This window comes from Homo sapiens, chromosome 17 (assembly GCF_000001405.40).
Source record: "Homo sapiens chromosome 17, GRCh38.p14 Primary Assembly".
NCBI classification, from domain to species: domain Eukaryota; kingdom Metazoa; phylum Chordata; class Mammalia; order Primates; family Hominidae; genus Homo; species Homo sapiens.
In genome coordinates this window covers 17493463-17509045 of record NC_000017.11, presented here as the reverse complement: position 1 = coordinate 17509045, position 15583 = coordinate 17493463, and the positions used below count along the sequence as shown (strand labels likewise).

Here is a 15583-nt window from a genome sequence, read left to right as displayed (position 1 = left end):
GAAACATTCTTTTTGATCCTTTTGCTTTTAACCGTTTAAAAATGTAACAGGCGTTCTTGGCCCCTAGGCCGTAGTTTGCGGACCCTTGTGCGGGGACATCAGGGCTGGGACCACCCGACCCATCTTCCCCGCAGGAGGGGTTGGCCAGAGCCGCCAGGGCCCAGCTCACCCGCAGCTGACAGAACTCCCTGTGCCCCAATAGCCTCTGCCCATGTGGCAGATACCCCTTCCCACAGAGGGGGCCCCGTGCCATGAGGGAAGCCTAGAACTGCTGTCGGCCTCAGCCAGGTACGGGTACTGACAAGGTATGGAGATGTGCTCCCCCGGCGGGTCAGAGGACCTGCGGTCAAGGATGGCACAGCGGGCGCTGCCCTCGGCTTCATACCCAGCCCCCACCCCAGCAGTTCTAGTTTAGCCATTTTCTTCCATAGAAGGTTTTTTGGCAGACAGTGTTCCACTGCTTTTGTTTAACACTTGAAAACCACTGGCCTAGAATTTACAGGTTCTCCACAAGACCTGAGGATCCCAAAGGAGTGAATCGTAAACAGTGAATGTCAAGCGCAAGATGTTGCCTCCTGGCTCCCACCTTCAGCAGTTGGGACCGTAGCAGCGGGGGTTGGAGACAGCAGAAGCTAGAAGGGGGGCTGTGGGTCTGGCTGGGACCCACCCTACCCCCACCCCACGTCCAGGCCAGGCAGTCCCCAGGGACACGTCCTACCTGCCTTCTAGCCTGGTCCCTCTGCCTGCTAAGGCCCAGACTATGTGCCCCCAGGCTCACCGGCCATGGAGCACCCCCACTGGGGCCACAGGATGAGCCCAAACTCAAAACAATCCCCCCCACCCAGGTCGTCCCTGCAGGCTTAGGGTTCCCAACACACCTGGCTCCCCCCTCTCCTCTGTGTGCACAAACACATGCATGTATGCACTCACACACTGTTCCCTCGCCTAGAACCCTCCCACTTATGCCCCTTGTCAGTCCTTCCAAACCCAACGTCAAGTGTTCCCTCCTGCACGAATCCCTCCCTAACCCCCCAACCTTCGGTGCCTCCCCAGTGGCTTAGTGTCCCCAGCAGTGTCTTGTGCCCTGGAGTGAGAGTCACCCTTGGGCTCGGGGCAGCCAGGCCAGGGCTCTGGGGGACGCATAAGCCGCCTCCAGAGGACATCAGCCATGCAGCGTGCTGAGAGATGGCATCAATGGTCCAGGAGCTCATTAGAGATGAGCCATTATCTGGCCAGACGCTGACACAGCGGGGACCCCCACAGGCCTCCCACGGCCCATCTGTCTCTCACCTGCCAGGGCCCCGGAGATGGGCTTCCAGGTGTCTGAGCTCCCCGGCATGTAGGACCCCAGCAGGCTGTGTGGCAGTGAGCCCGATGCCAGGGGACAGATGGCAGAGGTGGTGGCCTGGCTGTGAGGGACAGGTGGGCCTCCTGCTTCGTGTTGTGCAATCAGGGACTCCTGTCCCCCTCGGCGCCCACAGTGGGGTCGCTGCTGGTTGCCAGGCCTGGGGTTGGAGCCTGGGCTTGGATCTTTGCTTACGTCTGCCCTGCCTCCTGCAGCTCCCAGACAGGCAGACCAGTGTGAGGTCCAGGGGTGGAAGGCAGTGGGCAGGGCAGAGGGTCCCCACGGGGTCCACAGGTGTCCTCCAGCCCTCACCTCGATCCAGCCCTGCCTGAGGTTCTTGTGATGGTTTGGCTGGGGAGGGGGCAGCTTGGCACAGGGGCAGCCAAGGAGGGCACAGCCCCTGGCCCAGGCCTGCCCATGCGCCCTCTGTGCCCGCCAGACAGCTCCTTTCCTCCCTCTCCTTCCTCTCTTCCTCCCTCCCTCCCTCCTCCCTGGCAGCAGCCCAGCACCTGCGGGAGCTGTGGGATCAGAGGTAACTATAGAAATAGATTGGGGGACAGCTTGACGGCAGCTATTTCTGGAAACCCAAAGCAGCTGCGCCCGGGCTCCTTGGTGCCGTCACTGACGAGCTGCCGCTGCTTACTGGTGTGGCGGGGTCAGGAGCTGGTCACCAGCAAAGAGCCCCTGGCGATGCTCCATCCGGCCTTGGGCCTGCTGTATGCTCTGCCTGGGGCCTCCCGTCCTCTGGGCTGGGGTGACCGGGGGCTCCTGGGCGTGGGGCTGCTGTCCCACCACCTGGGAGAGCCCAAGCTGGGCTAGGTGTTGAGGGCTGGGCGGGGCGGCAGCTCCTAAGCCCCCTTCCCCACAGCCAGATCCTCCCAGGGCGTGGCCATGGGGTTGCACCTGTGGCCAGGGGCTGGGGACTCAGGGTGGACCAAACTGGCTTTGGGGGACCCTGGACTCATTTCTAGAAAACAGCCTTTGTTCCTCAGAGCATGGTTTCTGGGAGACGGGAGCACTTTGCCCCAGAATCTCCTCCTGTGCGGGAATGAACAGCCCTAGCCACTGGGACTCTTCCGCCTGGGGCTGCGTTCCCAGCTCTGGGCTGGCGGCTGGAGACCCGGAAAGAGTGAGCAGGCCCCACCCTGAGGGAACCCAGCCAGGCCAGACAGGCAGACAATGATGATAAATGGATCAGGACCGAGAACATGGGGACCCTGGTCCTGGCACAAAAGCCAGACTCAGGAAGGGGCAGTGCTGCCTGGGCTCGGTCGGCCCAAGTGGCCCAGCGTCGGCCGGAGGGCCAGGGTCACGGCAGGAAGGGCCAGCCTGGGCAGGTGGGCCGTGGCCCTGAGAGACCCTGGCTCCAGCCAGGCCTGACCTGCCTCTGTCCTTTCAGGCACGCCAGCCCCACGGGCCTGCTCCTGACGGTGCTGGTGGCCCTCACCTACATAGTGGCTCTCCTATACGAAGAGTGAGTAGGGGCTGCGGCGGGTGGGGGCGTGGCTGCCCGACTGGCCCTGTCTCTCCCTCTAGAACCTTTCCTTGTGGCCAGGGCAGGCTCAGGACAGGCTGCCGTCAGCCAGGCCCACTCCAGGGCTCCCAGGTCAGAGCGGCCATGGTAGCTTACAATGCGGCCTGCAGGACCCAGCAGGCAGCCGGCCCCTCTCCCCTCCCCTCTCCCGCCTGCGCTCTGAAGGCTCCAAGTCAGTGTTGCCCCAGTGGCTCTGGGGGATGAAGGGGATCCCGGTCCCATCTGGACACCCTCAAGCTGATGGACGCAGAGCTCTGGTGCGGGCAGTGGGTCACCCCCAGGACCTGCTGACCGAAGCCTCTCCCCGCTGCCCGGCAGGCCCTTCACCGCTGAGATCTACCGGCAGAAAGCCTCCGGGTCCCACAAGAGGAGCTGATTGAGCTGCAACAGCTTTGCTGAAGGCCTGGCCAGCCTCCTGGCCTGCCCCAAGTGGCAGGCCCTGCGCAGGGCGAGAATGGTGCCTGCTGCTCAGGGCTCGCCCCCGGCGTGGGCTGCCCCAGTGCCTTGGAACCTGCTGCCTTGGGGACCCTGGACGTGCCGACATATGGCCATTGAGCTCCAACCCACACATTCCCATTCACCAATAAAGGCACCCTGACCCCAACATCTGCTCCAGCCTCTGTCTGTCTGTGTGGGGAAGGAGCAGGCCTGGGGCACGAATATCAGGTCAAATAGCTCCCGAGCAAGGCTGGCTCCAGCCTTTCTGTCTTGAAATCTCAGAGCTGAGGGGTGGGCACCTCTCTCCAGGCCTCCCAGTAAGGTACTTAGGAGGCGTCAGGGGCTCACCTGGCCATGGCCATGGTTTCATCTCCAGGAGACTTGGTGTCTTGTGTCACCTGCTCCCACCCCTGCCCCAGCACACCCAAGACAGCCCCTCTGCTGCCTCTTCCCTTGGAGGATCCAGCCCCGTGTCCGTCAGCATGAGGGTGGAGAGGTGTGGGCATGTTGTCCTTGGCCACCCCAGTCTAGCTGGGCAGATGACACTGTCATTCCTAAATGAATGGCCTTGTGCTGACCAGCAGCTGGACACATGCTGGGCACCCTATGTGTCTGTATGGGGGTGAGGGGTGGGCCCTGCAAGGGTAAGCCTCATCTGGGGGAGGCAGGGCACAGTGACCAGGAGTGTAGGCTCAGCCATTGCCACTGGGACTCCTGAGGTGGACAGAGGGGACACCCTCCCCCTCTCCTCCTGGCATCCATGCCGCCACTTCCTGTTTTCATCCCAGTTCTGCTGCTGGTGGCAGGGTCACCCCTCAGCCCCCAGGACTCCAGGCCCCCTGACTGGGGCAGGTCGAGGACTTCTATGCTTGGTGGGCTTTGGGGTGATTCTCCCCGGGGTGCTAGAGGCCCTCAGCCCTTCAGCTTTGGTCAACATTATCCCTCAGGGTCTCTCTGTGAGCCCCGAAGGCCAGTCAGGGGCTCCCGGAGGCCGTGTGGGGATTAGGGTTCTGCGGGGAGAGGCCTCCACCTGTTCCAGCCCCTCTCCTCTTCCACCTGTGACCTCAGGCAGATCACCGCCCTCCTCCAGCTCCAGGGGTCCTCAGTCAAGCTCAGAGACAGTGGCCGAGGGCCGGCTTTCCCTTGACCTCCCGTTACTTTCGCTCAGGGCTGCAAAGCCACGGCCTGAATGGATATTTACAAAGCGCCCTCAATCCAGGATCTTCGTGCTCACACCGCCAAGATGGGGTCCCGGGCCGCATTCCTGAGCCTTCCAGGCAAGCCTGGCCCTCTCCTTGGAGGGCTGGAGGCGGGTGCAAGGAGACTCACCCCCCAGCACAGGAGTCCCCAGGCCAGAGCTGTCAGAAGCCACAGGGCTTCCGAGGAGTGAACCTGACCCTTTCATCACACGGCCTCTTGTCCCACTTCCTTGGCCCCCAGGGCACATGGTGGAGGCAGGGCTGCCAGCCCTGAACTCCTCTTGCCCCAGCCCCAGCCCCAGCCCCCTCGCCCCTGGACCTGGGCAGGTTCCCCAACTTCCCACTCTGCATATGGAGGTAGAGTGGATGATGGTGCCAGGGTTGCTGGGCAAGGCTGACCCTCACCTGTGTCTTCGCTATCCCAGGTGCCCAGTTGACCGGGCCCCACAGCCCAGGCAGGTGGCCTTCAGGGTCTGGGCCACAGAGCCTCTCCATCCCTCAGCTGTGCTGGCTCCTTCTCTCTCTGGGCCTCCTTCCCTGTCTCCCCAGCCAGGATGCTCGGCCTGGGATCCGGGCCATGGGTGGGAGGTGCCAGAAAGTCTCAGCCTGAGCACTGCTCATGTTCCTAGGCAGTTCCCTGCTCCCCACCTCCACTCCCCATCAGTCCCAGCCCCCACTGGGGGGCTTTATTTTTAGGTACCACTTACTCAGCACCCAGCTGTGTGTGCAGCCGGAGGAAGCCTGGTTCCCTGGCAACCGGCCTGGCTCAGTCCAGTGGGCCCCTCCCCTCAGGGCTCCCACCTCCTGCCCACTCCCCACTCACCCCTGCGCTTCACCCTCACACCACCCCCCCTGCCAAATGCAAATGGGGTCAGGACACCCCCTCAACCCCCTGTTGTCCTCAGAAGGAAGTCTTGGCCCATTAACCCTGGGGCCCAGGACTTATTCTCTCCCCAGAGCCTGTCCCACCGCGGCCTCCTTCCCTCCATCTGGGCTCCTGCGATGTCTTCAGGTCTCAGATCACCTCCGCTTATTCCTGCGTCTACTCTCGCCATTCCCTCCACCTGGACACCCCTATCCATCTATCCGTCCATCCATCTATCCGTCCATCCGTCCATCCATCCATCCAACAATATTGAGTTAGTCCTTCTATGACACAGGCAGGGGACTCACTCAGCTATGAGCATGGTTTTCATGCCCTGCCCTCAGGGGCACGCCACCCCTTGGGACAAGCCACTGCAGGATGGGGACAGGGCGGGATGTTTTCCTCTCATCGCTGCCATGATCGATCTGCGTCCTCAGGCTCTGCAGAATCATTCTCGCTGGTGAGGTGAGTTTTGAAGTCAGATCTGGGTGTGAGCAGGTGTCAGGAGGTGAGGCAGTGGGGTGGGTGAGGAGCCTTCCCGCCCAAGGGAACAGCATGTGCCACGGCTGTGGTGGGCCGACCCAGGAGAGGGTCCAGGGCTCCCGAGTGTCCCTTGCAACAGGCAGGCCTGGTGAGGGACTCAGGTTCCAAGAAACAAATGAAGTATGGGAGGAAAGTGACAGGTTCCCCTTGGCTGCAGGGTGGAAACAGGGTCTCCTACTGTGAGGAGGCCCCCAGGGTGGGGAGGCCCCTACAGAGTTGTTCTGGGCAGTGGTGATGGTGCTAGGCCCTGGACAGAGGCGTGAGGTGGGAAGAGGGAACATGAGAGATGTGTAAGGGGGAGAATGTCCAGGATTTGGGGATGAATGGGGAACAAAAGGGTAGCCCCCATGGTGGGCGGGTCCAGGGGAGCTGGAGAGATCCTGAGTCCCTCTGCAACAGGCAGGTGGCTGCCGGGTGTCGTGAGAGGGCTGGGCTGGAACCAGTACCTGTTCATCAGGGGGCGAGATTCACGCTTCTCAACCTGGAGCACACAGTCCTGCCACCTGGCCAATTTTATGGTTTCATTTCTATTATAATTTTAACATCTTTACTGAGATATAATTCACAAGCCATACATACAATTCACCCATACATACAATTCACAAGCCATACACACAATTCTGTGAGTTTTTGTTTATCCAAAGAGTTGTGCAAGCATCACCACAATCATGAAAACATTTTCGTCACTCCCCAGAGAGACCCCTGTACCCCTGAGCTGTCACCCCCGACTCCTCTCCAGCATTAATCGCCACCAAGCCGCTCTCTGTCTCTATGGATTTGCCTCTCCCGGACACTTCCTATAAATGGAATCACGGTATTTGTCCATTGGTGTCCGGCTTCTCTCACTCGGCACTGTGTCTTTGAGGTTCAGCTGCGTAGTGCCATGCCTCAGCACTCGTCATTTTTACTGCTGAACAGTGTTCCACTGTGTGGATGGAGATGCTGTGTTTATCCATCAGGCAATGGACACTTGGGTTGCTCTCACCTTCGGGCTGTTGTGAAGAATGCTGCTGTAAACACTTGTGGACAGTTTTTGTGTAGACACGCTTTCATTGCTTTTGGGCAAATACCTAGGTGTGGAATTGTTAGGTCATATGGTAACTCACACATTGGACCCACTGAGGAACTTCTAGCCTGTTTTTCACAGCACGTGCATCTTCTTACATGCCCACCTTGATGATAATTTTTTATTTTTATTTTTATTTATTTATATTTGAGACGGAGTTTTGCTCTTGTTGCCCAGGCTGGAGTGCAGTGGCGCAATCTCAGCTCACTGCAACCTCCACCTCCCAGCTTCAAGTGATTCTCTTGCCTCAAGCTCCTGAGTAGCTGGGATTACAGGTGTCTGCCACCACGCCCGGCTAATATTTTGTATTTTTAGTAGAGATAGGATGTCACCATGTTGGCCAGGCTGCTCTCGAACTCCTGACCTCAGGTGATCTGATCGCCTCGGCCTCCCAAAGTGCTGGGATTATAGGCGTGAGCCACCGCGCCCAGCCCCGATCATTTTTTTTAATTGTCAGTGTACTCTGGACCCCCTGGATGGCCACCTCTCATGCAGTCCTGCCATTTGGGATTGGCTGGATTGTTTCCTTGGGGAGAAATGGTGCATTTCCGTAGGTGGGGGGCCACTTATGATGCAGCAGTTCCACCCTGGGTCTCCCCACAGACACAAGTGCCTGGGAGCACCAACTAACACCCATCCCCACTGCATCCTGTCTCCTGAAACCCCCAGCATTCGCCAGCGGGACAGTGGACACACACGTCGTGGCTTAGTCACGCAATGGTCTCCCCTGCAGCAAGGAAAGGAATGAGTGGCCGGTACCTGTGGAAGGATGTCGTGGACCTACGATGCATTGAAACCAGACACAAAAGGCAAAACGGATCTACGGTGGTAGAAGCCAGTGTAGTCGGCAGAGGCTTAGCCAGGTGAGGGCGCGAGGGAGCTTTTCAGAACTGGAGGTGTCCTGTGCTTGGATGTGGTGCTGCCACAGGTGTGCACAGAGGGGAACCTTCAAGCTGTAAACTTTCCATCTGTGCACCCTACTATAGCCAAGTCATATCAAGTTGGACCATATAAAGTTGCCAATACTGCATGTGACCATTTCTAACTTAGAAAAGCAGTATTATTCAGCCGGGCATGGTGGTTCATGCCTGTAATCCCAGCACTTTGGGAGGCCGAGGAGGGCAGACCACGAGGTCAAGAGATCGAGACCATCCTGGTCAACATGTGAAACCCCATCTCTACTAAAAATACAAAAAACTAGCTGGGTGCGGTGGCAGGCGCCTGTAGTCCCAGCTACTCAGGAGGCTGAGGCAGGAGAATCGCTTGAACCCGGGAGGCAGAGGTTGCAGTGAGCCGAGGTCATGCCACTGCACTCCAGCCTGGCGACAGAGCGAGACTCCATCTCAACAAAAAAAAAAAAAAAAAAAAGAAAAAAAGAAAAGCAGTATTGTTCTGTGATTCAGACTAGTATCCTAAAAACTTAAGAGAAAATGGAGCAGTGTGAATAGTATGAACCAGAAAATGATCAGTGACAACCATCACACAGGAAATTTTGGAAGGGACACATGGCAGTGTGACCTGTTTTCGCTAGGGTGGTCAAGTGGGCCTCTCTGAGGAGGTGGCATTTGAGCCAAGACCCAACTTCAAGAAGAAGCAGGAGGGAGGAAGAGCCTCCGGGCATCGGGAGTGGCAATGCAAAGGTCCTGAGGTAAAATACAAAAATTAGCCAGGCATGGTGGCATGCACCAGCACTCCCGGCTACTCTGGAGGCTGAGGCAGGGGAATCGCTTGAACCCAGGAGGCGGAGGTTGTAGTGAGCCAAGATCACACCACTGCACTCCAGCCTGGGTGACAGAGCGAGACCAAGGAAAGGCATGGTGTGGCACTGGGCCAGACGGACACTGCACACACTGACCCTGCGGCCCCTCATGTGTAAAATGGCCATCATAGTCATGACTGCCTTGTGTATAAAGCAGGTGCTCAGGCAGTGCCTCCCTTATCACCCATGGAGCTCCTCAAGGTTTTCTCTTTGCTTTCTAGAATCCAGAATCTGTCTCAGGGCTTGAGGGGCATGAGAGGCGTCCGGTCTGACCATATCCAGTGCCTCCGTCCTGCTCCTGCTTGCACAGGTGCTCACTCCCTCCGCCAGCACCTCTGCACACACGGCCTTTGAGGACATATTGCTGATGGATGGGCTGAGCCGGGCAGCAAAGCTCCGTGCATCCTGACCCTTGGTTCCTGGGGCAGAGCCGGGAGCCTTGGGCTGAACTGGCTTCTGCTGGAAGGGTCTGCTCTGTCGGGTACAGAGCTCATCACTGATGAGGAATCTACCAGAGTTAAAATCTCAGCTTGATGAGGGGAGCCTGTCAGAGGGAACGCAAAGCCAGCTCTATTTGCCCCTTTCCTCCTCTTCAGGAGGTGGCGTACCAGGGCCACACAGGATAGAAGCGTGCCTCAGGGCCTCCTCTGTCCAAGGCGCTGGTAGAGATGGGCTCTGGCCGCACGGGCCAGCACGGCAATGCCCAGGCCCGAGGGTGCTCTGGGTTCCTGTCACCTGAAGTAGCCACTTCTGGCCTTTGTGTGGACTCTGTCTCAGGACACCACAACAGGCAAAGCTCTGATGGGGTGCCCAGCATTCTCCTCTGGCCCAGCTCTCAAGAACCTTCTAATTGCTCTTTGCCCTCAAATGAGGCTGTGTGGCTGGCATTTCCTGCCTGGGGCTGGTGGGGGGGGGGTGGGTCCACCTGCCCACCCCCAGATCACCCCCGACATTGTCAAATATTTTAAACAGTTCCCCTCCCCTCTAAGCAGCAAAATTGCTGCACTGCAGGTAAATACTATTTACAGACAGGCTCATAGCCTCATATACGCTGTTTGTTGTCTCATGCCCCAAACACACAGAAAACAGAATTATTTATTGCATACAGCATGGGACTGTGATCAACCTGGACATCAAATGCCGCGATGGCTGACAGGGCCCAGGCGGCGGGAGTGCTGGGAAGCCCAGTACACGTGCTCCCTCTCTGTGGGACTCCGGGATCCACGGGGCGGATGGTTCTGTGAGTTGCGAGTTGTTCCTGTTTGTCTTCCAGCCCCCAGTCCTCCCCGGCCACTCTGATTAGCCAGCCTAGGGTAGGGCCTGGCATAAAGTCACACAGGCAAACCCCAGAAGAAGGAAAAAGGGCACCTGCATGAACAAAGAGCTGGGTGGCAGAGGCTGCACCGGGGTAAGACTTCCTTCATGCAGTTGGGAGTCCGCCCATGTGGGGACATCAGGAGATGCCACCCCACAGAATTGGTGGCTAGGCTGTCCTGGGTGTGGCCGAGAGAGGCCTGATCCCAGTGCTTCTTTCATTCTGGTCCTTTCTGAAATGGCTTGGGTTTTTAAAAAACCATGAGCATTTATTACTTTTGTAATAAAAGGAAAGAGATGCCCTTTTAAAAGAAAAGACGAGGGCGGAAACAAGGAAGTTGGCTTGCTGCTTGAGGAGTAAAGTCCCAGAGGCCACCTCCTTGACAGGAGGCGCTCTGGGGCATTCAGAATGGGAATGGCAGGTGGGCCTGGGTCTTCACAACCCAGCATCCGTAGGGCAGACGGCCATGCACAGATGGTACCAGGAATCACTGTGGCTGAGGACACAGGCTAGATCAGTGCCTGCCAGTGTCATGTTCCTGATTTAAGGGGCCAGCCTGGACACTGACCAGGGGAGAGCTGGGCTGTGATCCTTGACCCTCGGGCCCTCCACTCATATCAAATGGACCCTCTTGGGACTAGAGCCCCAGGAGGCAATGGCTGTGTGGGGTCCACCTTCACTATAGCCCTGGCCATCAGTCATCCCAAGTTAGAGCCCGGCTGCCCATGCAGTGCCGCTGTGGGAGGCACAGGAAGGCGGTGCTCAGTCTGAAGGTGGTTCAGGTCCGTACCTTAACTGAGCCCCCCCATGTACCCTCAACTGGCTCCTTTATGCAGTGAACACCCTGCACCACTGCAGCCCTATATCCAGGGCTGCGACTCAGTTCCTTCTCCCCTTCTCCCAGACTCTGGCAGACATACCTCAGATGGGGGCAGGAACCAAGAATGGCGGGGCTCCAGCCCCAGCTAGCCTGTCGGATAACTGCTGCATAAGTGACACCAGGAATCAGAGCCAGGCCAGGGCCACTGATGAGCCCTTGGATGCTCACTGTGTGATGCGTGCATTTGAAATATCTGACAGTAAGAGTGAGGCCTGGGAGAGATGCAGGGACTCTGAGGATGGGGGCCAAGCTGGGCTGAGAAACAAGTTAGTGGTGTCCTGCAGCAGCCCCTACAGCAAGTGCCAGCGTGGGAGGGAGGTGGGTAGGCATGGGGTGGGTGGTATGGCACTCACAGCACTGCCTGCAGACCACCACCTGACAGCTGGGCCGGTGGTGCCAGCTAATGGCTCCCTAGTTTTCTCGTAAGTCAGACGTGGCCAAAGCAAAACACTGAGCACACAGGTTGCCTTGAGGAGCAGTGACTGCCTCAAGAGCTCAGGGCTGAGGAGCTGGCTCCAGACAGCCTGTTGCCAATGTTCAGCAACATCACCCCACTCCTGGTTACTGATCGACCTGGTGTGCTCTTGAGAGTACCCCCACCAGGCCTCATGGGTCAATACTACTGTTATTGTTGCTATTGTTATTACCAGGCCCCGCCCTCCTAAAGCATTTGCATATTTTCATCCTTAATCACAGAACCAGAATCAGTATCTTCCAGAAGAGAAAACTGAGGCCCAGGAGAAAGCAAGAGGCTGTGCTGTGCTCCCAGGGCCTTCCTGGCTCGCTGTGGCTTTGAGCTCCAGGTCTCTCAGCTAGACAATGAGAACGTCGGCCCACGCGCGGCACAGTAAAAGCCCAAAATGCTATGATGGACGGGGTGGGCCGCTGGCTGCAGAGCCCTCCATACCACAGAGCATCTCTGGCTGGGAGAAAGGAGCAGGCTGAGGCCTGCAGCAGAGCGCGGGGTTGGGGACCGCTCCTGTTGGGCCCCAGCAAGGCGCCCTGAGACCCCTGCTCCATCCCTGCCGCTCCCCACCCGCCTGCTCCTAGCCTCTGTTCTAGCTCTGCCCGCGGCGGCCACAGCCTCCCCGAGCCGCCGGCCGGGCCCTCTGCTGCCCTCTGGCGGCCCGAGCGCGCGGTGCCGAGCTCCGCGCCTGAGGCCCTGAAACCCCGCGTCCGCCCGGCGGTCGCCTCCCGGGAACAAGAGCCCGGCTGGGGACCGGAGCGGAAGGGGGCTGGGGCTGGGGCTGTGCTCTGAGGACTGCAATATACGGTCCGCGCAAGCACTCAGCAAACGCTGCTGCGCTTACTGGGTTACTTACTAGATTCCTATTCTCTGGGGAAACTGAGAACCAAAGAAAATAAGTGTACGCGCGCGGGAGGTGCAGGAATGGGGGTCCTTGCCCGAAGTCGCAGAGGGACAGGGGCACCGCCGGGACCAGAACCCCGACGCCCCTGCGGCCGCCGAGCCCGCGGCAGTGGAAAAGCGGAGTCCGAGCGCCTCCAGCCTCAGCCCGACCCTGGACTGCTCCCCCCAGCCCCCGCGCCCAGAGAGCAGGAGCCCGGCAGCGGGTGACGAGGTCGCCGGGACTGGGAGCCGGTGCGGGGGAGGCGGGCCCCGCGGGGCGTGACGCACCGAGCTGGGAGGGCCGGGGCGGGGCAGCCGAGCAGGCTGCATATAAGGGCGGCGGCCGGGCGCCAAAGCCAGAGCAAGCGGCCTGTGCCCAGATCCTGGGAGAACCCCAGCCGAGCCCAGCCTAGCCCGAGCCCAGCCCGAGCGGAGCCGGAGCCCCAAGCCCGAGCCGCGCCCAGCCCGAGCAGAGCCCTCCAGCCGCTCACCCCGCGTGCCACCCCAGCGACCCTCAGCCGCTCTCTGCCCTTCTCTCGGCCCCGCGCCCGCCCTCGCGGCCCCTCTGCCCAATGAAACTGGCCGCGATGATCAAGAAGATGTGCCCGAGCGACTCGGAGCTGAGTATCCCGGCCAAGAACTGCTATCGCATGGTCATCCTCGGCTCGTCCAAGGTGGGCAAGACGGCCATCGTGTCGCGCTTCCTCACCGGCCGCTTCGAGGACGCCTACACGCCTACCATCGAGGACTTCCACCGCAAGTTCTACTCCATCCGCGGCGAGGTCTACCAGCTCGACATCCTCGACACGTCCGGCAACCACCCGTTCCCCGCCATGCGGCGCCTCTCCATCCTCACAGGTGAGCCGGGGGCCGGGCAGGTGCGGGAGGGAAGGGCGGGGAACCCTCGGCCAGGGCGCCCCGCGAGCGCCGGTCCGGCTGCCGCGCGCCGAGTAGTGCGCTTCGCGCTTAGAGAGGCTAGCGCGCCCCGCGCGGCCTCAAAGTCAGCCCGACTTGTCCCCTGGGCGGCCACCCTCACCTTCTCCTTTTCTGCTCTCTGTGCCCCCTCTAGGAGACGTTTTCATCCTGGTGTTCAGTCTGGACAACCGCGACTCCTTCGAGGAGGTGCAGCGGCTCAGGCAGCAGATCCTCGACACCAAGTCTTGCCTCAAGAACAAAACCAAGGAGAACGTGGACGTGCCCCTGGTCATCTGCGGCAACAAGGGTGACCGCGACTTCTACCGCGAGGTGGACCAGCGCGAGATCGAGCAGCTGGTGGGCGACGACCCCCAGCGCTGCGCCTACTTCGAGATCTCGGCCAAGAAGAACAGCAGCCTGGACCAGATGTTCCGCGCGCTCTTCGCCATGGCCAAGCTGCCCAGCGAGATGAGCCCAGACCTGCACCGCAAGGTCTCGGTGCAGTACTGCGACGTGCTGCACAAGAAGGCGCTGCGGAACAAGAAGCTGCTGCGGGCCGGCAGCGGCGGCGGCGGCGGCGACCCGGGCGACGCCTTTGGCATCGTGGCACCCTTCGCGCGCCGGCCCAGCGTACACAGCGACCTCATGTACATCCGCGAGAAGGCCAGCGCCGGCAGCCAGGCCAAGGACAAGGAGCGCTGCGTCATCAGCTAGGAGCCCCGCCGCGCTGGCGACACAACCTAAGGAGGACCTTTTTGTTAAGTCAAATCCAACGGCCCGGTGCGCCCCAGGCCGGGAGCGCGCGCGGACTGGCGTCTCCCCTCCCGGCGATCCGCCCCCAGCACTGGGGAGGCGCCACTGAACCGAGAAGGGACGGTCATCTGCTCCGGAAGGAAAGAGAACGGGCCAAGACTGGGACTATTCCCCACCCCCGGTCCCCCATTGAGGCCCGCCACCCCCATAACTTTGGGAGCGAGGGCCCAGCCGAGGGTGGATTTATCTTCTCAAAGACCTAAGAGTGAGCGCGGGGTGGGGGAGGGATGTGAAGTTATCCAGCCTCTGCTAGGCTTCAAGAAACCGTCATGCCCGCTTGAGGGTCAGGACCCACGGGGCATTATCTTGTCTGTGATTCCGGGTTGCTGTGACAGCCGGTAGAGCCTCTGCCCTCCCAAAACTAAGCGGGGGGGCGTGGGTCAAATCATAGCCAAGTGACTTGTTTACATGTGAGTGAAACTGCACAAAGGAACACAAAACAAAACTTGCACTTTAACGGTAGTTCCGGTGTCAACATGGACACGAACAAAACCTTACCCAGGTGTTTATACTGTGTGTGTCTGAGGTCTTTAAAGTTATTGCTTTATTTGGTTTTTTAATATACAATAAAATAATTTAAAATGGAAAACCGGTTTTTTTTTTTTTTTTTTTGCTTTTAGAGATGGCTGGAGTGGGGAAGGGTGGGGAGAAGGAAAGGGCTGGGCTTTGACTTAGGTGGAACTAGAACTTACCTTCCCCAGAACTGGAAAATAACCCTGGCCTTCTGAAGGCAGCTTCAGCTGCCAGAAAAGCCCCAGATGCCTGGGGCATCTATGTAGGGGATGGTTCCCTAGAAAACCGGGAAGAATATAAAGGATTTCAGGGTCCCCCCTGGAGATGAACTCTTTCTAGCCATCCACCCGCTTAATTTTCTTTGGGTTAGATGACAAAAGGCCTCATTTTCTGAGAGAATGTTCTGAATTCTTCAGCGTAAAAGCCACTGGAACTGTGCCTAACCATTTTGTCACCAGACTCAGTGTGGGCCCAGGCAAACTTTCGGACTGTTGGAGGCATCAGTCAGGCCCTGGGGAAAGAGCCTGAGACCCCATCTGGAAACAGGACCATCCTGGCGCGCCCCCACCACCCGCTCACTCCAGGGTGCCACCCTGTCTGGAAACAGCTAACTCCTCAGCCTCTGCTCCCCTCTAGCTCCAGGAAGTGCTCCTGGCCAGGTGTAGAGCCCCATCCCCCTTCAGCCTTGCTGTCTCCGTCTCATGGCTAAGGCACCCCAGAACACCAATCTCTCTGCCACTAGTACTGCAAACCTGTTGGTGGGTGACACCTGCCAAGCCTCTAATTCTTCACCCCGGGAAGAGAGAACACCCTCGGCATGGGCTCACTGTGGGGATTAAGTGTGATGTTTGAAAAGTACTTAGCATAAATGCCGGCCACCCAGTAATCCAAGTAATTGGTGGCTTTCAGAGGACGCTCAGCCCTGTGAGAGACACTCAAAATTGTCCTAGAAGGATTTCAACCCTGCTCTGGTGAGGGCGGCTCCCCACAGGACTGAACCTCCTCGAGTCACCAAAAGGCACCCCCCACCTCCCCCCTCCAAAAATAAAA

At 59.1% G+C, this 15583-nt stretch overlaps 2 protein-coding genes across 10 annotated transcripts in view, besides 4 other annotated features; both read left to right on the top strand.

Moving 5' to 3' along the window:
• PEMT (phosphatidylethanolamine N-methyltransferase) overlaps positions 1 to 3483 on the top strand; it is an 86580-nt gene extending 83097 nt beyond the window's left edge. For 7 of the 8 annotated variants that reach the window (XM_024450532.2, NM_001267551.2, NM_148172.3 and 4 more), the window contains 2 exons: positions 2745 to 2819; positions 3198 to 3483. In XM_024450532.2, coding sequence (XP_024306300.1) covers positions 2745 to 2819; positions 3198 to 3255 — 133 coding nt within the window. In that variant the 3' untranslated portion in view covers positions 3256 to 3483. Of the gene's footprint in view, positions 1 to 1846; positions 1878 to 2744; positions 2820 to 3197 lie in introns of all 8 variants that reach the window. The other variant, NM_001267552.2, reaches the window with a different exon arrangement.
• Positions 4702 to 5674: an enhancer, noted in NCBI's record as "H3K4me1 hESC enhancer chr17:17406686-17407658 (GRCh37/hg19 assembly coordinates)". NCBI's record gives its function as "activates a minimal SCP1, AML or CMV promoter by ChIP-STARR-seq in primed H9 embryonic stem cells {active_cell/tissue: H9 hESC(primed)}" and the evidence as "EXISTENCE:reporter gene assay evidence [ECO:0000049][PMID:30033119]".
• Positions 11931 to 12160: a silencer, noted in NCBI's record as "silent region_8245". NCBI's record gives its function as "represses an Ori minimal core promoter by ATAC-STARR-seq in GM12878 lymphoblastoid cells {active_cell/tissue: GM12878}" and the evidence as "EXISTENCE:reporter gene assay evidence [ECO:0000049][PMID:35858748]".
• Positions 12211 to 12340: a silencer, noted in NCBI's record as "silent region_8244". NCBI's record gives its function as "represses an Ori minimal core promoter by ATAC-STARR-seq in GM12878 lymphoblastoid cells {active_cell/tissue: GM12878}" and the evidence as "EXISTENCE:reporter gene assay evidence [ECO:0000049][PMID:35858748]".
• Positions 12501 to 12720: a silencer, noted in NCBI's record as "silent region_8243". NCBI's record gives its function as "represses an Ori minimal core promoter by ATAC-STARR-seq in GM12878 lymphoblastoid cells {active_cell/tissue: GM12878}" and the evidence as "EXISTENCE:reporter gene assay evidence [ECO:0000049][PMID:35858748]".
• On the top strand, positions 12651 to 14609 carry RASD1 (ras related dexamethasone induced 1). 2 transcript variants are annotated; one of them, NM_001199989.2, is made up of 2 exons: positions 12651 to 13150; positions 13436 to 14609. In NM_001199989.2, exons 1-2 carry the CDS (start codon positions 12865 to 12867, stop codon positions 13516 to 13518), a joined length of 369 nt encoding a protein of 122 aa, NP_001186918.1. In that variant the 5' UTR covers positions 12651 to 12864; the 3' UTR covers positions 13519 to 14609. The 2 variants fall into 2 exon arrangements, with proteins under 2 accessions (NP_001186918.1, NP_057168.1); NM_016084.5 differs by having other exon boundaries at positions 13362 to 14609.